General features: G+C 47.2%; 1 protein-coding gene across 32 annotated transcripts in view, besides 6 other annotated features; it reads left to right on the forward strand.

The window, feature by feature from the left end:
- EHMT1 (euchromatic histone lysine methyltransferase 1) overlaps positions 1-22148 on the forward strand; it is a 217123-nt gene that overhangs the window by 109530 nt on the left and 85445 nt on the right. For 19 of the 32 annotated variants that reach the window (XM_047423872.1, XM_047423875.1, XM_047423878.1 and 16 more), the window contains 2 exons: positions 14837-14994; positions 15368-15556. In XM_047423872.1, coding sequence (XP_047279828.1) covers positions 14837-14994; positions 15368-15556 — 347 coding nt within the window. Of the gene's footprint in view, positions 10246-14836; positions 14995-15367; positions 15557-22148 lie in introns of all 32 variants that reach the window. The other 13 variants (NM_001354263.2, XM_017015138.2, XM_047423884.1 and 10 more) reach the window with 2 other exon arrangements.
- Positions 9546-9805: an enhancer, noted in NCBI's record as "active region_29361". NCBI's record gives its function as "activates an Ori minimal core promoter by ATAC-STARR-seq in GM12878 lymphoblastoid cells {active_cell/tissue: GM12878}" and the evidence as "EXISTENCE:reporter gene assay evidence [ECO:0000049][PMID:35858748]".
- Positions 12609-13109: an enhancer, noted in NCBI's record as "H3K4me1 hESC enhancer chr9:140635595-140636095 (GRCh37/hg19 assembly coordinates)". NCBI's record gives its function as "activates a minimal SCP1, AML or CMV promoter by ChIP-STARR-seq in naive H9 embryonic stem cells {active_cell/tissue: H9 hESC(naive)}" and the evidence as "EXISTENCE:reporter gene assay evidence [ECO:0000049][PMID:30033119]".
- Positions 16924-16973: an enhancer, noted in NCBI's record as "active region_29362". NCBI's record gives its function as "activates an Ori minimal core promoter by ATAC-STARR-seq in GM12878 lymphoblastoid cells {active_cell/tissue: GM12878}" and the evidence as "EXISTENCE:reporter gene assay evidence [ECO:0000049][PMID:35858748]".
- Positions 17124-17173: an enhancer, noted in NCBI's record as "active region_29363". NCBI's record gives its function as "activates an Ori minimal core promoter by ATAC-STARR-seq in GM12878 lymphoblastoid cells {active_cell/tissue: GM12878}" and the evidence as "EXISTENCE:reporter gene assay evidence [ECO:0000049][PMID:35858748]".
- Positions 17364-17583: an enhancer, noted in NCBI's record as "active region_29364". NCBI's record gives its function as "activates an Ori minimal core promoter by ATAC-STARR-seq in GM12878 lymphoblastoid cells {active_cell/tissue: GM12878}" and the evidence as "EXISTENCE:reporter gene assay evidence [ECO:0000049][PMID:35858748]".
- Positions 20017-20516: an enhancer, noted in NCBI's record as "H3K4me1 hESC enhancer chr9:140643003-140643502 (GRCh37/hg19 assembly coordinates)". NCBI's record gives its function as "activates a minimal SCP1, AML or CMV promoter by ChIP-STARR-seq in primed H9 embryonic stem cells {active_cell/tissue: H9 hESC(primed)}" and the evidence as "EXISTENCE:reporter gene assay evidence [ECO:0000049][PMID:30033119]".

Genomic DNA, 22148 nt, shown 5'->3' on the forward strand with positions numbered 1-22148 from the left:
GAGGACCCGGCAACTGTCTCTGCTCTTTGAATGTATGTTTCGAGCCTGCCCCTTGCCAGGTGAGAGTTCTGTTTGGCTGTAAGTGCCTGTGCTGCTCTTGATGAATGACTGTTGACGTCAGCTGGCCCTCCTGTGCTCGCCTGTATGCCTGAGGAGGCACACCTGACCTCTGCTCTAAGCCTTGTCTCATGCCAGCATTGATTTCCTAGCTTGTTAACATTCTCAAGATGAAGACTGTTTTCTTTACTAGTATGTGACTCACTTGGTCTATGTGGGGAGAAGACCCTGGAGTTGGAAGCTTTCCTGGTTTGTAGGTGGAGTGCCTTTGGAAATGCTGGGGTGTGCTGGGGAAGTCTGTGGCCCAGGGTGAGGACCACCGCCCGCTCCAGCTGCTCTGCCACCAGCCACCTCGCTCCAGGCGTGCTCCTCACTCTCCTGGGCTGGCTGCTTCTATGGCCAGTTCCGGGAGTGGATGAACGTTTGATTCCTTACCGGGGACCTTTTGTGGGAGGTGCTGGGAGGGCACCGGGACCTCAGAGTGAGCGCTGCGTCAGGGCTCCCTGGGCTTTCAAACCTCCTCAGCTTCTGGGATGGGATGTGTGCGTTTGGCGCTGTCCTGAAGAGATGCAAGGCCCTTCCTGCCAGCCCTCGTGAATGCTGGGAGGTCAGCCGGCCCTCGTGAATGCTGCTGCTGCTGGCAAGGCTTCACTTGGGGATGATCACCTGGCCACAGGTGTCTGTCTTTTTCTGGACTTTAAAAATACTTTTTATTGGCCAGGCACGGTGGCTCACGCCTGTAATCCCAGCACTTTGGGAGGCCAAGGCGGGTGGATCACGAGATCAGGAGATCGAGACCATCCTGGCTAACACGGTGAAACCCCGTCTATACTAAAAATAAAAAAATTAGCCGGGCATGGTGGCGGGCGCCTGTAGTCCCAGCTTCTTGGGAGGCTGAGGCAGGAGAATGGCGTGAACCCGGGAGGCGGAGGTTGCTGTGAGCCAACATCATGCCACTGCACCCCAGCCTGGGCGACAGAGCAAGACTCCATCTCAAAAAAAAAAAAATTTTTTTTAATTTAAGTATTTTCAGACCTCCAGCAAAGTTGCAAAATTCTACGAATAAGTCCTGTGTACCCTTTATTCATTTCACCACATGGCACAATCTCGCCCCCGGCCCCCCCATGTATTACTTTTTTTTCTGAGACATGAATGTAAGTTGTAAACATTGTGCCCTTTTATCCCTGAAAACTAATGTTATTTCCTAAAATTACTGTCCCTCAACATAAAGACATTCTCTTAGATGACTACAGCACAGACATCCCGGTGAGGAAGTATACCGCGACGCCGCTCTCTAATCTCAGTGTCCTGTTCCGCATTTCCCATTCCCGACTGTCTTTTAGGGCAAAGGACAAATAAAATCTGGTTCTAGAGCTTCGAGCACCTAGTTGTTGTGTCTTGCTAGTTTCCTTTAATCTGAACCATTCTCAGCCTTCTTTGTCTTTCTGAACCGTGGTGTTTTGAGTACAGGCCAGGTCTTTCATAGAATGTGTCTGATGTGGGTTTGCCCAGTGTTTCCCAGGATTGTGTGCAGGTCGTGGAGCGACGCAGGTGACTGACAAGTGTCCTTAGGAATTGAATTGTGGTGGTTTTTTGTCCATCTTCAAGTTACTGCTCACCAGACTGCAAGCATGTCTTGCAGGGAGAGACCCTAAGGTGCTGCATGTACCTCCCATCACATCCCACCAGGGTCTTCAGCATCTGCCATGGCCCACGCTTAGCTAGTACTGCACGGTGGGTGCCAAATGGTGGTTTTCTAACTCCATCATTTCCTCTCTTGATTATTTCAGTTTCTGCTGTAAGGAGGTGCTTCACTTTCCTGTCCGTCCACACAGTTATCTGTCCATTTACTTTACAAAAAAAAAAACTTAAAAAAAAAATAGAGATGGGGGTCTCGCTATGTTGCCCAGGCTGGTCTTGAACTCGTGGGCTCAAGCAGTCCTCCTGACTTGGCCTCCCAAAGTGCTAGGATTACAGGCGTGGGCCACCGCCCCCAGCCTGTCTGTCTGTTTTTAAGTACTAATTTACGGACTCTTATTTGAGTCTCTGGACTGTAATCCATTCCTATCATTATTTATTTTGTTGCTCACATTGTCCCAAGTTTGTCCAGTGGGGTCCCCCTAGGCTGGTTCTGAGTCCTGGGGCGTGGGCACCTCTTCAGGAAGACCTTCCCCATTCACTGGATGGTCTGCTTACCTTGCCTTGTCCCTTCCCAGGGCCGGAATCGGCTTTCTCCAGGGAGCCCTGGTTCTTTTCATTGGAAGTTAGAAAACAAAATCAGTCATTATCTGTTCCCCTCACCATCAACTTACCAACTTTTTTTGCTATTTGACGTAATTTTATTTGTTTGAAACAGTTAAACTTGGTGTTTTGCAAAACTATGGAGTTATGCTCACGTATGTGAGGACTTAAAAGTAATGTCTGAAGAGTTGTTAAAGTGTTGAGATTTTCTTTTCCTATTTTAGCTTTATTATATCGCCATCTTTTAAAAAGAGCTTTCTAAAAACAAACTACCCAGCGTGTTTAGCAGGCTCCAGTTTACCCTTCCACAGCCCCCTTCCTCCACCACCCCTTCCTTATCCGTAACCTGGAAGTGGGTGGTCCATCAGCGTGTTAGCCTAGGACAGTGTGTAAAATGGCCTTGAGCACTGGAGGAGATGTGCTCGGCAGTTAGCTGCCTGCTGTGGTCCAGTGGTTAAGATACTCCCTCAGCCTCAGCTGCTCCCGTGTGTTGTCACCCCAGGGCTTCCGGAGTGGGCACAGAAGTTACAGTTTCTGTGCTAGAACGTGTTAACTAGAGAGGAGCATGGCATGCCCAGCTGCCTTGTCTTGTGATGGTCATCAGTGCACCTTTCAACATGGCTGGAAAGACAGGAGTGCAGATGGAGGAGTCCCCTGTTAACTGTCCCCGGGGGTGCAGAGTCCACTTATCGGGATGGCAGAGAGAGACAAAGGCCTTTTACAACAGTGTCCATACAGAGCAGGAATCGGGGTACGTCCTATCCTGTTGTCACAGGATCCCTTGAGTGTCCCTTTGCTGGTCATAAACCTCTGCAGCCAGCGGCGCCTCTGCTTGAGTTTCACTTGCACCTGCTGGGCTCATTCTGCCCACTCGGCCCAGCAGGCTGTACTTGGCTCATGCTACCGGCCCAGATCCCACACCTTCCGAGGGCAAGCCAGGAGTGGAGCAGCGAGGCGTGTGTTGACGAGCAAGCATGGTGTGGGGCCACTGTGCACAGCCAGGCCTGCTTGGCTGCTGTGGTGGGGCAGGCAGCTCCAGGCTCTGGCTCTGTGCAGAGCTGTGGCTGGATGAGGCATACCACAAGCAGTTTACACTGCAGGCGCTGGCGTCTAGATGAGGGGAACACGGTGGTGCCCCAAAACTCGGAGTCACCAGCAACTGCAGAGCCCCAAGGGGATAGGGTGGGAGAGTGTGCTATAGCTCTCTTGCTGTCACCACCCACAGTACGGGCTGGGGTGTGTTCCCAGCTCGTTCAGTTCTGCCGCTTTCGCCCTGGCCTGCAGCTCCCAGGCTGGCCTGGCTCCACTGCTGCTTGCCATCACACGGGGCAGCCGCCGACACCAGCGGAGGGCAGGAGGGCTACAGTGTTACAGCTCTGGCTTGAGGAATCCCAAGGTTTGGGTCCCCAGAAGGATCACCGCTCTTCACTCCCGCAGTTCAGCGAACGGGAGCGTGTCACTGCCTGCAGCTCAGTGAACCGGCCAGGAACATGTTACAGCCCTTTTTGCACCCGCTGTTGCGTGGGTCCCGAGTTCTTGTCTTGGGTCCAGGAAGAATGAGGTTACATGGACAACTGGAGGGGAGCAAGGTGGAGAAGAGTTTTATTGAGCAGCAGAACAGCTCTCAGCGGAGAGGAGACCCAAAGTCAGTAGCTCCTACTGGCAGGGAGGCAGTCCTGTTGTGTGGCTGAGTCTGGGGGTTTATGTGGGCTCAGAATGGAGGAAGTGCATGAAGTGCATGCTGATTGGTCCATGGGTAGGTCTGGAAAAAACACCATTTGATTGGCTAAAAGGCATCAAGGAAGTTCTCACTCCAGGTTGTGGATTCTGCCGGGAACTGGCAGCCCGGTTTTCAGGCTTCAGGCGGCCTTTGGCTTGAAGGTCAGGTTTCACCGGGGACCTGCTCCTATCTGCCTAGGAATTTGTCTGCCATTATCACTTTTATTTCTTCAACTGTCACTCCATTGCCTGCCATTCATTGTTGCCTCCCTGTGGGAGGGGTGTTGGAGCCAGGTTATCAAAGAAAGGCTGAGATTTCTTGTCACGTCTTTCTGTTAATTTTTAATTACTGTGGCGATGATCACAGATGGTTCTGCTCTTTCCCTCCTGCTACCCCCTTAAGTTTACCACAGGCAGGAAAGAAGAGCAGAGTCACATGTTGGTTTCAACGTGCATTGTACTCCTGAAGTCATAGCAGAGCCCGTGTGTGGTAGCTTGTTCCCATGGGCAGCTGTAATTCTTAGTTTTAGATGGAGGGTGGCTGTGATTCTCTTCGACCTGTTCTGCACCCTCCACCCTGTAGTATCAGAAATGAAAGATCTGTGCTGTGCAAGAAGGTTGAGAACATGCGTTTATGTGACAGCCCCAGGCTGGGGATGGCCGTGCTGAATCAGGATCTCAGGCACCCAGCATTGTTTTAGGTGAGCATTCCTTCTTTTTACAGAGTGGACTGGCATCTTTGTTAGCAGCTTGTTCTGTATCTTTCCCACGTGTAGCGGTTCACAATTTAAAAACAATCCTCGCAGTACCAAAAACTGATTTCAGAGGGTTCTAGAAAGATAGTGGGGCAGGAAGACCAGGAATTCATCTCCTCACCTAGACAACAGTTCCACTGGCAGAATCTGTCTGATGTAACTATTTTGGAACTCTGGAGTCTACTGAAGGTTTGCAACTTCTAGGCGGGAAGCTGGGACGGTTAATTTCAGTCAGTTTCAGCTCTGCTGCCCACTGCCTTCCTCAGCCCTGTGGTGCAGGGTGTGCGGTGTTCCTGGAACAGTGTGCGTGCAGCTTGTGGGAGCCAGGGTGAGCAAAGAGGACCTTGTCCCCAGGTGCATACAGAGAGGCCCTCTCATCCGGTTGTAAGCCTTTCTTCCATGTGACGGCCAAGAAATCTAAAGGGCCAGTGCTCTTTTTATCTCCCCACTTCATTTTTATTGTTTTCTCCTTTTGGGAGCCAGACATTAAAGACTAGGATATTCAGAAGCAACTGTGTATATGGGGTAAATTATAAAGTGACTGCATGTGCCCAGGGAAAGGCACAGGCTAAGGGAAGACATGAAAAGACCTTAAGTTTAAATCTCAGGCTCACCCTCCTCACAGAGACAGCCTACAACTATAAAAAATGACAACAACAAAAACACCCCAAAACCAGTAACAGCAACAAAACAGTACACCCTGGAAAAGGAGGAGAATCAGCTTTTCAGAGTTTCTACATTATTGGATTCAAATGTCCAGTTTTCAGCATAGAACTACAAGGCATACAAAGAAACAGGAAGGTATGGCCCAATCAGATGCAAAAATAAGTCAACAGAAACTGTTCCCAGAAAAGATCTGATGCCAGATCCACCAGACAAAGACTTTAAAGTAACTGTCTTAGATATGGTCAGATCCTAAAGGAAGGTATGGAGAGAGTCAAGAAAATGATGTATGATCAAAATGGAAATACCAATAAAGAGCTAGAAAACGTAAAAAGGAACCAAAAGAAATTCTGGAGCTAAAAAGTATAATAAGTGAAATGAAAAATTCACTAGAGGAAATCAAAGGCAGATCTGAACAGACGGAAGAAAGAGATAGCAAACTTGAAGATAGGACAGTGAAAATAATCAAGTTTGAGAAGCAAACAACAAGACTGAAGGGAAGTGAGCAGAGCCTGGGGACCTGTGGGCATCATCAGGAGGACCAAACAGGGATTGTGGGAGTCCAGGAAGAAGAGAGTAAGAAAAGGGTGGAGAGAATATCTGATGAAACCCATGAGTATAAACACCCAGGGAACCTGGTGAACTCCAGTAAGATGAACTCAAAGAGACCCACAGTAGACACGTTATACTTGAGACACTTCTGTAGAAAGACAAAGAGAATCTTGAAAGCAGATGAGAAAAGAGACTCATCACATACACGTTTCCTCAGTGAGATCATTGGCAGGTTTCTCATCAGAAACTTTGGGGGACAGAATATATCACCGGTATATTAAGAGTGATAAAAAAATCTTTCAACCAAGTATCCATATCCATGGAAACTGTCCTTTAAGAGTGCAGAAGAAATTAAGATATTCTCAGATAAACAAAAGCTGAGGGAATTTGTTACCACCTGACCTGGACCTGCAAGAAATACTTAAAGGAGCCTAGCAGGTTGAAAAGAAAGAACACTAGACAGTAACTTGAAGCCATATGGAGAAGTAAAGACATGGGCAGTTATAAAAGCTAGTATTGTAACAGTGGTTTGTACCTCCACTTTTTGTTTTCTGTAAGATCTAAGAGACAAATCCGTTTAAAAAATTAGTCTGCAAGCTAGTATCATTGCAACTTTGGTTTGTAACTCCACATTTTTCCTACATAACAAGAGACTAATGCATTTAAACGAATTGTTTATGTTTTGGGGCACAGCATGAATAAAGATGTAGTTTTGTGACATCAGCAAATGAAAGGGGTGGGAACAGATATGTAAAGGAGCAGAGTTTTTCTGTGTTACTGAAGTTAAGCTGGCATAAATTTAAATTAGAATGTTATTACTTTAGGATGTTAAATGTAATCCCCATGGTAACCACAAAGAAAATAGCTATAGAACATACACAAAAGGAAATGAGAAAAGAATTTAAACATTCCACTATAAAAAATCAACTAAATATAAAAGAAGACAGTAGTGCAAGAAATGAGGGACGAAAAAAGCTATAATACGTGTAGCAAACATAGCAAAATGACAGAAGTAAATCCTCATCAATAGTTGTTTTAAATGTAAACAGATGAAGATTTCCAATCAAAAGACGAAGATTGGCAGTGCTATGGTTTGGATGTGGTTTGTCCACACCAAAGCTCATGTTGAAATGAGATCCCCAATATGGCAGTGTTGTGAGGTGGGGCCTAGCTTGAGGTGATTGGTCATGTGTGTGGATTCCTCATGAATAGATCAGTGCCCTCCCTCCAGGTGAGTGAATTCTCGCTCTTAGTTGCCTTGAGAGTGAGGTGTTTGAAAGAATCTGGCTTCCTTGGTTTCTCTGTCTCTTCCTTCTTCTCTCACCATGTGATCGCTTGCACATGCCTGCTCCCTTTCCAATTTCCACCATGAGCCAGAGCATGAAGCCCTACCAGGTGTACCTGCTCAATATTAAACTTTCCAGCCACCAGACTCAGGAGACAAATCTCTTTATCTTTTATGGCAACACTAAATGGACAAAGGCAGATGCATCAAGAGAAAAAAAACAGATGATCCTACTACATGCTGTCTATAAGAGACCCACCTTAGATCCAAAGACAGAAATAGATTGAAAGTGAAAGGATGAAAAAAGATATTCCATGCAAACAGTAACCAAAGAGAGCAAGGTGGCTATCAGACAAAATTTAAAAATAAAAATTTATTTCTTTTTAAATAAAAAAAGGTTACAAGAGACTAAGAAGGACAATATATAGTAATAAAAGTTTCAATACAATAAGAAGGTATAACAATTACCTGGGTAAACATTTACATACCCAACGAATGATAGACTATCAAGATACAAGAAGTAAAACTGATAGAATTGAAGGGAGACATAGACAATTCTACATTAATAGTTGGAGACCTCAGTATCCACTTATCAATAATGGATAGAATAACCATATAGCAAATAAGAAAGGAAATGGAGGACTAAACACCATAAGCCAACTAGATTTAGCAGACATACAGAGCACTCTGCCCAACAGCAGCATGTACACTCTTCTCAAGTGCACCTGGAAGACTTTCTAGGATCGACCATATGTTAGGCCACAAATAAGTCTCAATGTTGATTTTAAAATACAGAGATTTGAGCCGGGCGCGATGGCGCACGCCTGTAATCCCAGTACTTTGGGAGGCTGACGTGGGTGGATCACTTGAGGTCAGGAGTTCGAGACCAGCCTGGCCAACATGGTGAAACCCCATCTCTACTAAAAATACAAAAATTAGCTGGGCGTGGTGGCACGTCCCTGTAATCCCAGATACTTGGGAGGCCGAGGCACGAGAATTACTTGAACCTGGGAGGTGGAGGTTGCAGTGAGCCAAGATCATACCACTGCACTCCAGCCTGGGTGACAGAGTGAGCCTGTGTCTCAAAAAAAAAGAAAAATATATACAGAGATTTGGCTGGGTGTGGTGGCTCAAGCCTGTCATCCATGCACTTTGAGAGGCCACGGTGAGCTGGTCACTTGAGCTCAGGAGTTCCAGAGCGGCCTGGGCAACATAGCAAAACCCTGTCTCTTAAAAAAAATACAAAAATTAGCCAGGCATGGTGGCAAGTGCCTGTGGTTCCAGCTACTCCAGAGCCCCAGAGGCTGAGGTGGGAGGATTGCTGGAGCCCAGAAGGTCGAGGCTGCAGTGAGCCATGATTGTATCACTGCACTTTAGCCTAGGTGACAGAGTGAGACACTGTCTTAAAAAATAATATATGTATATGTGGAAAAAGACAGAGATTCAAAACTTACTACAAAGCTATAGTACTCAAAACAGTGTTATTCCAGCATAAAGACAGACATATAGGCCAGTGGGCTAGAACAGAGAGCACAGAAATAAACCTTTGTGTTATATGATCAGTTGATTTTTGACAAGAGTGCCAAGACCATTCAACGGGGGAAAGGACAGCTTTCCAACAAATGGTGCGGGGAAGACTGGATATCCACATGCAGAAGAGTGATACTGGACCCTTACCTCACACCATATGCAGAAGTTAGCCTAAGACAGGTCCAGGACCTAAATGTAAGACCTAAACATATAAAATTCTGAGAAGAAAACATAGGACAAAGGCTCCACAACCTTGGATTTGGCAGTGATTTCTTGGACATGACACCAAAAGTGTAGGTAACAAAAAAAAAGGAGACACACTGGGTTTGATGAGACTTGGTGTCTTTTGATGCACAAAGCTTTCTATCTCCTTGTTTCCCTGTTTCCCTGCTTCTTACTGCTGCACTTGGCTAGTCGTAAAGAAAAGACACTGTTAACGGAATAAAAAGGCACCTGTGGAGTAGGAGAAAATATCTGCAAATCCTATGTCTGATGAGGAATTACTACCCAAAATATACAAAAAAAATCCCACAACTCAACAATAAAAACAACTTGATTAAAAAATCAGCAAAGGAGGCCGGGTGCAGTGGCTTGCGCCTGTAATCTCAGCACTTTGGGAGGCCGAGGCAGGCAGATCACCTGAGGTCAGGAGTTCCAGACGAGCCGAGCCAACATAGTGAAACCCCATCTCTACTACAAATACAAAAGTTAGCTGGGCATAGTGGTGCATGCCTGTGGTCCCAGGTACTTGGGAGGCTGAGGCAGGAGAATCACTTGAACCCGAGTGGTAGAGGTTGCAGTGAGCCGAGATCGGACCACTGCACTCCAGCCTGGGTGACAGAGTGAGACTCTGTCTCAAAAAAAACAACAACAAAAAAAAAACAACAAAAAAAACCCAAAAAAGGCAAAGGACTGGAATAGACGTTTATTCAAAGAAGATGCACAAATGGCCAGTAAGCCCATGAAAAGATGCTCAACGTCACTAATCATAAGGTAAATGCAAATCAAAACCACAGTGAGATACCACCGTACACCTGTTGAGGACAGCAACTATCAAAACAGAAAATGGCACATATCAGTGAGGATGCGGAGAAATGGGAACCCTTGTGCACTGCTGGTAGGAAGTGAAACGGTGCATCTGCTGTGAAAAACTCAAAAAACTAAGTGTGGAACTACCATGTGATCCAGCAGTTCCACTGCTGGGCACGTGCCCCAGCAGCACTGAAAGCAGGGTCTTGAAGAGATGCTTGTACACCCACGTTGATAGCAGCATCAACCACAGCAGCCAAAAGGGGGAAGCCACCCGAGGGTCGGCTGTCGGGCGAACGGATCAGCAAAGTGTCGTGTGCAAAACGCAGTGACGTGTGACTCAGCCTGAGAAGCAGCGAAGCTGGGGCCCGCGCTGCAGCGTGGATGAGCCTCGGGGACACTGTGCCGAATGAAGTAAGTCAGCCACAAAAGAACAAATGTTGTACCATTCCACTTAAAGGAGGTCCCTAGAGTCGTCCAACTGATGGACACAGAAAGAGTAGAAGGGGCTGGAGTCTGGGGCTGGAGGAAGGGAATGGAGAGTTAGGGCTTAATGGGAACAGAGCTTCAGTTTGACAAGATGGAAAGAGTTGTGGAGGTAGATAGGGGTGATAGTTGCACAACATTCTGAATGTATTTAATACCATGGAACCGTGCACTTAAAGATGATGAAGATGGTAAATTTTGTGGTGTGTGTATTTTACTAGTAAAAAAAAAAAAAACAGGCCGGGCGCGGTGGCTCATGCCTGTAATCCCAGCACTTTGGGAGGCCGAAGCAGGCAGATCACAAGGTCAGGAGATCGAGACCATCCTGGCTAACACGGTGAAACCTCGTCTCTACTAAAAATAGAAAAATTAGCCGGGCGTGGTGGCCCAGGTACTCAGGAGGCTGAGGCAGGAGAATGGCGTGAACCCAGGAGGCGGAGCTTGCAGTGAGCGGAGATCGCACCAATGCACTCCAGCCTGGGCAACAGAGCCAGACTCAGTCTCAAAAAAAAAAAAAAAAGAAAGAAAAAGTAAACTTAGGTCATAAAGCAGTTTGAGTGTCCACACTTGTAGGTTGCTGCTGGGTTCAGTGTCCACACTTGGGTAGAAGCTGCAGGTCCCTGCTTGGTACAGTGTCCACACTTGAGTAGAAGCTGCAGGTCCCTGCTGGGTTCAATGTTCACACTTGGGTAGAAGCTGCAGGTCCCTGCTGGGTTCATTTTCCACACTTGGGTAGAAGCTGCAGGTCCCTGCTGGGTTCATTGTCCACACTTGGGTAGAAGCTGCAGGTCCCTACTGGGTTCATTGTCCACACTTGGGTAGAAGCTGCAGGTTGCTGCAGAAGTTGCAGTGCTTCCCTTGCGCTTTTTTGCTGGTGACCACAGGACATGCCCAGAGTGGAGGCCCTGCCTTTTGCTTTGTGAGCTTGGAGTGTTCGTGCCTTCTGCATAGGTGGGTGGGAACAGTGCCAAATACTGATCCTGAATGGCCTGGGGTCTCTGTGTGGACTTGTCGGGCAGGGAGGAAGGAGGACGGTGTCTCTGATGGCAGGGAACAGTTCTACAGGTGCTGCTGTCCAGGCATGAGGCCTGGACATAGAGCTGGGCCCTGCTCTATGTGACCTGAGGACAGAAGCCCTTGTGAGTGGCAGAGTTGTGGTGGTGACCACGCAGACTGCTGTGTTTCCCGTGCACTTGCTTTTTTCCCTCACTTCCAACCTCCCATCCACCTTGTCTGCCCTCTGGAGCCTGTCGCCTTTCTTCCTTGTCCACACCTCTTCTACCCAGCAGCCCAGCCTTCCTGCAGAGCAGCTGGGCAGTGCCCACCCCCACCCCACGCCCATTTCCACTCCTGGCACTATTTTTCCTGGAACTGTCTGTTCCACACTGTCCTATGCCTGGGCCTCCCCGAGCGTCCTGTGAGATGCCAGTTGGCGAGAGTCTTTGCTCGGGGTCCTGAAGCCCCCCCCTCGCCCCCCTTCTTGATGTTCTCCACCAGGATTCTCCTGTGCCAGATCCCATCTGCAGGGCACTGGCCCCGCTTCTTTGAGGCCTGGACTGCAAATCCTCCTTCCAAAGAGGCCCTCGAGCCTCTTCGAAGCTTACTGCCAGCCGTCCTGCAGTTTTCTTTCTCCTGGCCCCTGATGACGCTGAATCCCAGCCGTCTGGCTCAGGGCCAGACCCCTTCCCTGGACACAGCTGGAAGTCCCCCTGCAGGACTGAAGCGGCTCCTCTTCACACTTCAGCCACGTGCTCAAACACTTTCAGGTCCTTAATAGATTCTACATTTCTGAAAGTCATCCATAGATGTTTCTCTACTATTTAATGTGTAGCAAATTTTATACCTAACATCTGTTTCACACATACAACCTGTCACTCAGTAAGAGGCCCTTAGACACCATTCTTCACTTGTTTGCAGCAGACAGACTTCCTGACATGATTTATTTTATTTTATTTTATTATTATTTTTTGAGATGGAGTCTAGCTCTGTTTCCCAGGCTGGAGTGCAGTGGTGCGATCTCGGCTCACTGCAAGCTCTGCCTCCCGGGTTCAAGTGATTCACCTGCCTCAGACTCCTCAGTAGCTGGGATTACAGATGTGAGCCACTGCACTGGGCCCCGACATGATTTTTTTTTTGTTTGTTTGAGACAGAGTCTCGCTGTGTTGCCCAGGCTGGAGTGCAGTGGTGCGATCCTGGCTCACTGCAAGCTCCGCCTCCCGGGTTCACGCCATTCTCCTGCCTCAGCCTCCCGAGTAGCTGGGACTACAGGCGCCCGCCACCTTGGCCGGCTAATTTTTTATATTTTTAGTAGAGACGGGGTTTCACTGTGTTAGCCAGGATGGTCTCGATCTCCTGACCTCGTGATCCACCCGCCTCGGCCTCGCAAAGTGCTGGGATTACAATAGGTGTGAGCCACTGCGCCCGGCCGACATGATTCTTAAGCACATGAAATGCAGGGTTATCTCCTTTGTCCTCACTCAGCCATTCATTACAGGAGTCAGCAAACTGTTTCCAGGGGACAGGTAGCAAACTGTTTCCAGGGGACAGGTAGCAAACGTCAGCGCCTTTGTGGGCCACACTGTTCCTGTCCCAGCTGGTCATGCTGTTGTCACATTGAAGCAGATGCAGACAGTATGTAGACAGTGGGCATGGGTGTGCACCAATAAAGCTTTATTTATAAACAGGTGCCATGTCCGATTTATGATATTAATAACCATGGGTTACTGAGATGAAATGAGGAAAAGAATCTAGTGAGAAAGTACATGTAGTCACCCTTGGGTATATGCAGAGATTGGCTCCAGGACCCCATCCCCATACCAAAATCCGAGCATGCTGCAACCCTGCAGTCAGCCCTGCAGAACCTGTGTAATATGAAAAGTTGGCCCTCTGTGTTCAGGGGTTTTGCATCTTGCAAACATTGTATTTTCAACCTGTTTGGTTGGGAAAAAAATTCTGCTTGTAAGTGGACCTATGTGATTAAAATCCATGTTCAAAAGTTGGCTGTATATATATTTAAAGCTGAGAGACTTGACAGTTATCTGATTAAATCCAGGCCTCCTTCATCCCCCCACAAAATATCTATTCAAAATATCAAGATGATTATGATAGTGAGTTTAGGATTCCCAGGGCTACCAAGGGATTTCTGTTGCTTGAGCACAGCCATGCTGGCCTGTCAGCCTGTTATAGTGTGGACAGACAGAGCCAAGTGTCTGCATGTTGGCTGTGTGCTCCGAGCCTGACCCCCATGAACATACTGCAGACGCCTGGTGTGATCGTTTCCCAGCGTCCGTGGTCCCAGGCACCTCCTTACTCCAGAGCGGATTGCCCAGGCCCCGCGGCGTCTGTGGGTGGTGCTGTCAAAGGACCTACCCGCTTTGGATGGTTCTCACTCGTTCACGTCCCTCCAACTGTTGCTTCTGCACTTTGTAGAACCAAATTTGTGTGTGTGTGTGTGTGTGTGTGTGTGTGTGTGTGTGTGTGTAAGTAAAGGGGGTCTCACTGTGTTTCCCAGGCTGGGCTTGAACTCCTGGAATGAAGCAAACCCTCCCTCCCACTCAAGCCTCCTCAGTAGCTGGGTCTTCAGGTGTGAGCTGCTGTGCCCAGCTTTAAACAGAGTGGATTTTCCCCATCCCTTTAGGAGAGTTTCTTTTATGTTAAAGCAGTGGCTTTTAGATCTGTTTTTCTTTAAATCCTGGAACTTAAAAAAAGTCATGGAGTCTGATTATATAAAACCAGTCGAACCTAGAACTGCTTTGTTCAGAATGGGGTTGGGAGCCCCCAGGCCCCTTCCTCGCTGCTGCTCTTGTTTGGAAACCACTGCTCCAGAGCCCCCAGACATTTGCTTCTCCCTCTCAGCCTCTTATCTTTTAATAGAGAGCTGGACCGTAGCTCCAGGCACTGTCTTTCCCCTTAGTCACTGGATTGCAGCGCAAGGAGGATGGTGTTGGGGAGAGGGCCTAGGAGGATGGTGTCTGGGTGTTGGGCTGTGGAGTCACAGGGGTGGACCTGGCACAGAGCTTGTGTCCTAGGAAGACTGGCCTGGCCTGGCCCCTGTGCTGGGAAGGGAGGCTGGGCTCTTCCTGCTCCGCGCTGCGTCCTCCCTGCTGCACATGCTGTTCACGTTGGTCTGTTTTGCAAAGTGAGAGGACTTCTCAAGGGTAGTCATTCCATGTGCAAAGCCAAGGGGACTGGGAGGAGGAGTCGCTTCAGAGCCCTGCTACTGATGATTTGTGGCTTTCCTGCCTCCAAGGTGGGGTGATAATGTTTGCTCCGTGTTTTGTTGTGAATGGAACAGATGAACAGATGATCCAGGACGTGTTTCTGATTCTCTGTGAATTGATCGTGAGGGAAGGATGCCTGTCACTGTGCTGATGACCTGCGGGCAGTGGGCCTGTTGTGATGGGGTTTGCTGGTGATTTTGGTGATCAAGTTTTGTAAACTGTCTCTTACCTTTGAAAAACATTTGAATGGTGTTTCTTTTCCTTTCTTGTCCCCTTTTGACTTTTTTTTTTTTTTTTAGCTTGCTTGCCTTTTGTTTTAGCAGCTGCAGTATCTCGGAAGAAAAAACGAAGAATGGGAACCTATAGCCTGGTTCCTAAGAAAAAGACCAAAGTATTAAAACAGAGGACGGTGATTGAGATGTTTAAGAGCATAACTCATTCCACTGTGGGTTCCAAGGTAAGAGACGCATTTGAGTGAGTTGCCACGTGTGCGTGGAAATGCGTTTCTGTGTTCAGGGCCTCGTTATCAGTAATTTGGGTGACCTCAGTCCCCGGGAAGGTGCCAGTGCCATGAAGCTCCTCTGCCATAGGGGCAGAGTGTTCGTGTCCAAGATCATTGTGGGGGACTCCACCCCGTCCTCCCTGCCCTCCTCACCACAGCCCACCTGTCTGCCGGGCTCTTCTCCAGGTGGCAGGGGCACCTCTTCGTGTGTCCCCGCCTCCCCACAGGCCCTTGCACCTCCCAGTCACCCAAGACTCCTCAGTGAAAGCAAGTTTGTTCATGATGCGCACTGATCCTGCCTTGGGGTATACACCTGCCCGTGTTCTAGGGGGAGAAGGACCTGGGCGCCAGCAGCCTGCACGTGAATGGGGAGAGCCTGGAGATGGACTCGGATGAGGACGACTCAGAGGAGCTCGAGGAGGACGACGGCCATGGTGCAGAGCAGGCGGCCGCGTTCCCCACAGAGGACAGCAGGACTTCCAAGGAGAGCATGTCGGAGGCTGATCGCGCCCAGAAGGTATGTGTTGCTGTCTTGGGTGACAGCACAAGGAAAGAGCATCACAAAGTTGGCCGTGGTTCTGAAAATTAACAGTCTGGTCACTTCTAGACCCTGATAAAATCCCCTGTTTACAATTGGCTTAGATTTTTGTATTTTATTTTTCTTGATTTATTAGATTATTTTCATTCAAGAAGTATTTATGTTTCTGTACATCATTCATTGAAGTAAACCTCTTTTTTTTTTCTGTGTTTTCTTTCTTTCTTTTTTTTGAGACAGGGTCTTGTTTTCACCCACGCTGCAGTGCAGTGGCACGATCATAGCTCACTGCACTCAACCTCCTGGGCTCAATGATCCTCCCATCCCAGCCCCCCGAGCAGCTGGGACCACAGGCTCACGCCACCATGCCTGGCTAATTTTTAAATTTTTTTGTGGAGACGGGGACTCGCTTTGCTGCCCAGGCTGGTCTTGAGCTCCTTTGCTCAAGTGATCCTCCCGCCTCAGTCTCCCAGTGTTGGGAATACAGCCATGAGCCACGGCGCCCGCCCTCTTGAACTTGTTCTGGGCTCTAGATTGACAGGAATGATATTGCTGACAGCTTGAAGTGCTGATTGGCGGCTTGCTGTGTGCTCGTTTGTGGTTGGCTTTGCGTGGCCTGCCACCTTGCACTGTGGACACCACACATGGGCCAGGCGTGCTCTCTTCACAGACAGCCTCATCCTGTGTCCACCCAAGGACAAGCACCAGCACGGGCCAAGGCCCCAGCCTTGTCACAGCGGTGCTGTTGCCCCTGGCCAGGTATGGGCACCTGGGCCAGTGTCTCAGGGAAACTGAGGAAGTTCTTAGACATACAGTTTCGGAGTTACATTCATGCTTTTTCAGTTCTGAGGGGTCAGTTAGGAGTGACGCATTTCATAAGGACGAACAGTGGAAAGTTAAGAATCAAGTTGACATGCAAATCTGTGGTTTATTGTTCGAGTGTGTCCAACCATGTTTATTTAGACGCAATCTTGTATCTAAGAAGTTATTCCAAAACTAACAGTAGGAATAGCAGTCCAGGTGAGTTCATCCAAATAGTGACTTACTGGAAAATGCATAATTTTAGTGGTTAAGGTTTTTCCCCTTTCAGTCAGCTTTGTGTGCTATGGCGTATCCCTGAATGTATACAAAGCATTTTCTATCATTTGTCAGAGTTTTGGGGATGTGTTTTCTTCCTTTTGCTTCAATTTCAAAGTCTGTTGTACATTTTTAGCATGTTTTAGGGCAAATTTTTGAATGTTGCTCCCAGGTTGTAGCTTGATTATTTAAAAATTCGTTGGAAATATTACCATTAGATATTTAAAGAGGATTTAAAAATTTTTTATTTTAAGATAATTATTAGTTTTTTCTCCTCTTATATGAAGAAGCATGAGGAAGAAAACACAGCATCATCACCCCATTGTCCTGGTGGCTCTGGCACTCTGAAACAGTCACTACAGGAACTTCCTTAGACGTGCCCAGCACAGCCCAGCCCTCCCCGAAGGACAGGCAGCCCTGACTGCACCGTGGGGAAGCAGCTACCCCAGCAGCTGCCGCGGTCTCTGCACACACGTGTCTGTCGCTCCAGTGCACTGTCTGTTCAGCTGTGTTACGCTCTTTCTGTCAAGTTACAAGGGGTATTCAGTGTCACAGTTTTGCTGAGTATGCCGGAGGCTCATAAGTGCTGTCTGCATTTACAGTGTAGCACTTTGATGTCACCAGGCCACCTCTGACTGTATCCTTCCACCTGCAGAGACCTGAGGGGTGTGGTTTCCTCACCTTCCCCAGCAGGGCTGCCTTCTTGGAGTCCAGCAGCTCTTCATTGCTGAGTCATGCCTGGGGCTGAGCAGCCAGCCACCAGTGTTTGTTCCTCTGTAAGCCGCTTGCTAAATAGCCCCTGCTCATTTTTCTTCTGGATTTTGCATCTTTTGAATGTAGTCTGACGATCTTTTTTGTCAACGAAGAGTTGATCTGTTGGCTCCAGTATGAATGGAGGTTTTTTCCCCAGGTGGATTTTGGGTTTTTTGTTTTGTTTTTTATTTTTTGGGGACAGGGTCTCACTCTGTTGCCCAGGCTGGAGTGCAGTGGCGTGATCACGCTCAGTGCAACCTTGAACTCCTGGGCTGAAGCGATCCTCCTGCCTCAGCTTCCTGAGTAGCTGGGGCTACAGGCACGTGCCACCATGTCCAGCTGATGTTTTTTTATTTTTTGTAGAGACAGGATCCCACTGTGTTGCCCAGGCTGGTTGAACTCCTGGGCTTAAGTGAACCTTCCACCTCAGCTTCCAAAAGTGCTGGGATTACAGGCGTGAGCCACCACGCCCAGCCGATTTTGTCTTTTGACCTTGTCTGTAGTGTCAGAACTCCCAGGTACTAATCAATTTCTTTATGATTTCTGAGTTCTGTGTTCTAATTATGATAAAAACCTTTCTCACTGTTGATTTTGAATGAATTGATGTATGCTATCTTCTAATACTTCTTTTATTTCATTCTTGTATATAAATATTTGATTCATATAGAATTAAAATATCAGGTAGGGCTGCTCAGAATGGGGGAAGTTTATGACATATTAATTATATCTCAATAAAGCTTTTAAAAGAAAATGTGAGGTAAGGGTCCCAGGGCTTCCCTTAAAATGCTTAGGTTTCAGCTCCACTTACTGACTGACATTTCTTCCCTTCTCATTTACAACACCACGTTTATCATGTACCATATGGGATATTAATTTCAGTCTATTTCTCGATTCTCTCTTTCGATTGAGGTTCTCATCTTCTAGAGGAACTGGACACTGAATAACTCTAGGTATTTGTCATAAAGTAAAACATTAAATGACTGTCAAGGCACGAAAAGAATCAAGAAACAAAAGCAAAGCCAAGAAGAAAATGTGGTCAGTGTAAAACAGAACAAGATGGCAGGAACAGCCTTAACTAGATGGGCACTGACAATCAACAGTGATAGTTTCGTTACGTAAGTGGCTCCAGAGAATAGAGAAGGATAGGAAAAGTACGCTAGCCCATTCTGAGACTAAAATATAGGCTGAAGTCACCTAAATCCTAAATACAAAAGTCCTAAATACATTTTTTTTTTTTGGGACTGAGTCTGGCGCTGTCACCCAGGGTGGAGTGCAATGGTGCGATCTCGGCTCACTGCAACCTCTGCCTCCCAGGTTCAAGCAATTCTCCTGCCTCAGCCTCCCGAGTAGCTGGGATTATAGGCACCCACCACCACACCCAGCTAATTTTTGTATTTTTAGTAGAGACAACGTTTCACCATGTTGGCCAGGCTGGTCTTGAACTCCTGACCTCAAGTGATCGACCTGCCTCGGCCTCCCAAAGTGTTGGGATTACAGGCGTGAGCCACTGCGCCCGGCCTCCTAAATAAAATATGAATCAAATGCAATGACATATTAAAATAATGATTGTAAGGAAGTAGGGCTTACCCCAGGATGAGAGTGATTCATTACTAGAAATAGATTATTTAAAGACCAGGATTTACTAGGTTAACAGAATAAATGAGAAAAACTACACAACGTATATGTGTTTTTAAAAAAGGCATTTTATAAAGTTCAGTCCGCTTTCTGTTTTCTGAATTTGGGGGGATTACATTGTGATTGCATGTATGACAACGGTACAGTTGAGTAATGATGGAAGAATGACGTACCTGTGTGGCCACCACCCAGATCAAAGCCTTGAATTCTGGTGGCACTGCAGAAGCCCACTGACCTCCCATCCCCAAAAGTAACCCCTCTCCTGAGTGCTAACCGTGTAGGATGGTCGTGTTTGAAGTGCTAACTCTGTAGGATGGTCGTGTTTGAAGTGCTAACCCTGTAGGATGGTCATGTTTGATTTCGTTCTTTCTATAAATGGAATTACACAGAATGCATTCTTTCTTTTTTTTCTTTGAGTGTGGCTTATTTTACTCAACGTTGTGTTTCTGGGATTTATTTATATTATTAGTTAATTTTCATTGTTATGGAATAGTAGTTTTCAAAGTGGTCTGGGTGGGGGCATTCTGAGACCTGTTGGGAGAGTCTGCAGATCAAAACTGTTATCATACTAATGCTCAGATGTTGGGTGCCTTTTTCACTATCATTCATGGAATTACATGTGATGGCGGCTTTGCTGTGGTGGCTGACACTGTGTCCTTGTAGTTTGAACATGTCTCAGCTTAAATTTCTACTACAGTACATGTTAATAGATACTTGTATTAACAAACGTTCTTTATGGTTCTTGGTGCTATTTCAGAGTGTGCGGGGCCTTAGGCCAGGGAGGCGACCATACAGGTTCCTCTGTATGGCTGCTCTCGTGTCTGTGTCCGTCCCACTGTGGATGGCCTGTGGGTGGTTCCAGTGGGGCCGTCCTGGAGGAGGTTGCTGCCAGCACCCTCATACAGGTGTTGCCCCAGGTACCCACTGGGAACGGAACCGCCATGCCTTGTGCTGGCCTCCATGGACTCTGCCATGCGGCTCCCCACGGTGGCTGCTCAGGTTGCCTTCTTCCCCACCGCCTCGGAGCATCCCCTCTGCTGTGCCGGCCACACTCGGTGCTGCCACTCCAACGAGCAGATAGTGGCATTACGTTTTCAGTTTAATTTGCATTTTCATGATTTATGAGAAGGTTGAATACTTTTTCACATACTTACTTTGCCATTTGGATGCCTTTTGTGAAGTGCCTATTCACATCCCAAACATTTATCTACTGGGCTGTTTGTCCTTTTTGAAACATGTTTTGTAGGGGTTCTTTGGCCTGGAAACAAGCCCTTGTTGTGTAGTCGACATGATTCCTTCTTCTGCATGTGGCCTGCCTTTTCACTGAAACAGTACCCGGTTTAGCCATTCTGCTCAGAAGCCACTTGCCAGAACCTGTTGCTTGACAGCTGGTGCGGCAGCCACTCTGGGTGCTGGTGAAGGGAGAGCTGGACCCTCTCCCCTCTTAGCCTGAATCTGTTAGTGAGCCTGGTGTCCAGAGTTGTGTCCTGCTGGGTGGGGGACAGGCAACTTTTGGTCTGTGGCCTGCTACCCACCCCCAGGACAGATGTGGGAAGCTCCTGGCCTGCTCCTGACCTGCTACCCACCCCCAGGACAGATGTGGGAAGCTCCTGGCCTGCTCCTGGCTTCTCTTTTCCTGTTTCACTTGGGTGTCAGCCTTCTCAGTTCACCTGCATCAGACTCTAAGTTCCCTATTTACTTTATTATTTGTGTGTGTGTGTGTCTTGCTCTGTTGTGCAGGCTGGAGTGAGTGCAGTGGCAAATCATAGTTTATTGTAGTCTTCACCTCCTGGGCTCAAGTGATCCTCCCACCTCAGCCTCCAAAGTAGCTAGGACCACAGGCATGCGCCACCATGTCCAGCTAATTTTTTTTTTTAATTAATTTTTTTGTAGAGATGAGGTTCTCTCAGTCGACAGCCTCTCACTATGTTGCCCAGGCTAATCTTGAACTTCTGGGCTCATGTGATCAACCTGCCTTGGCTTCCCAAAGTGCTGGGATTCTAGGTATGAGCCATGGCGCCCAGCCTCTTCTTAATTCTGATGTCAGTGGTTACCCCTTCTCTTTCTAATCTCCTTGGGTTTTCAGCTTCCACTTGATTCCTTACAGCTGTCTTATGCACAGTGATCAAGCAGCCTCTTATAAAGAAGCTCTTGTTCCTTCCTTAAAAGTCGCTTTGCCAGAGTTTTGGAAGGAAGTGGAGTTAGCTGTGGTGTTAGTCTGCTGTTAATTGGTGGTTTCATTGCCTTGTCTTGTTTTTAAAATAAGAAACCTGTCCAGTGACATGAAAACTCCTGTCAAAGCCGACTGAAGTGTCGGAATGCTTATAGAAGGGTTAGAACATTTCGATGGTCAGTCGTGAAGCAAGGGAGGAGAGGCTGCTGCTTTCACCTCTGACACGAATGCGGCAGCATTGACTGTTCCTGCTGATTCTGTAAGAGAAGAACCGGAAATAAACATTAATATTTTAAAAGACAAGAGAGAAGAGTTTGCTGAGAATATACTCATCCATCTGAAACATCTAGCAAAATCAGCTCAAAACCTATTACAGCTCCTAAGCTGACCTTACATGTGATCAAGACATAAAGACCAGTTATTTTCCTGTATAGCTGCAATAACCAATTAGAAAATGTAGTGTCAGCATTATCAGTAAAATCAATAAATGTCTAGGGATATTTTTAAAGATTTTCTCTAGAAAATTTCAAGCTGCACAAACACACAGAGGACAGTGAGCATTCTCCAGCATTTGGCCTCGTTCTCCACACGTGGGTTGTCTTGGAGCAGATATTTCAGTAGGGATCTTTAAAAGATAAGGACTCTTTGAAAGACAAACCACAATATCAGACCTAAAAAGTTAGTTGTAATTTCTTAATATCACCAGAGTACCTAGAAATAAACTTAACAACAAAAAAAAGAGTGTTCCTTGTTAATGTGGAGGAAAACTATAAAACTGGTGAAAGAGTTTAAAAATTAAGTTCCTAGAGAGAGTTATTATTTGCCTGAGTGACAAGATCCATTGTTTTATTTTCTCCATGTTTGCCTCTAAATTCAGAACAGCTCCCATCAAGATCCTAGCAGGACTTTTGTGTAACTGCTGGTTCTGAAGTGAGG

The sequence above is a fragment of the Homo sapiens genome, chromosome 9 (assembly GCF_000001405.40).
Source record: "Homo sapiens chromosome 9, GRCh38.p14 Primary Assembly".
Taxonomy (NCBI): domain Eukaryota; kingdom Metazoa; phylum Chordata; class Mammalia; order Primates; family Hominidae; genus Homo; species Homo sapiens.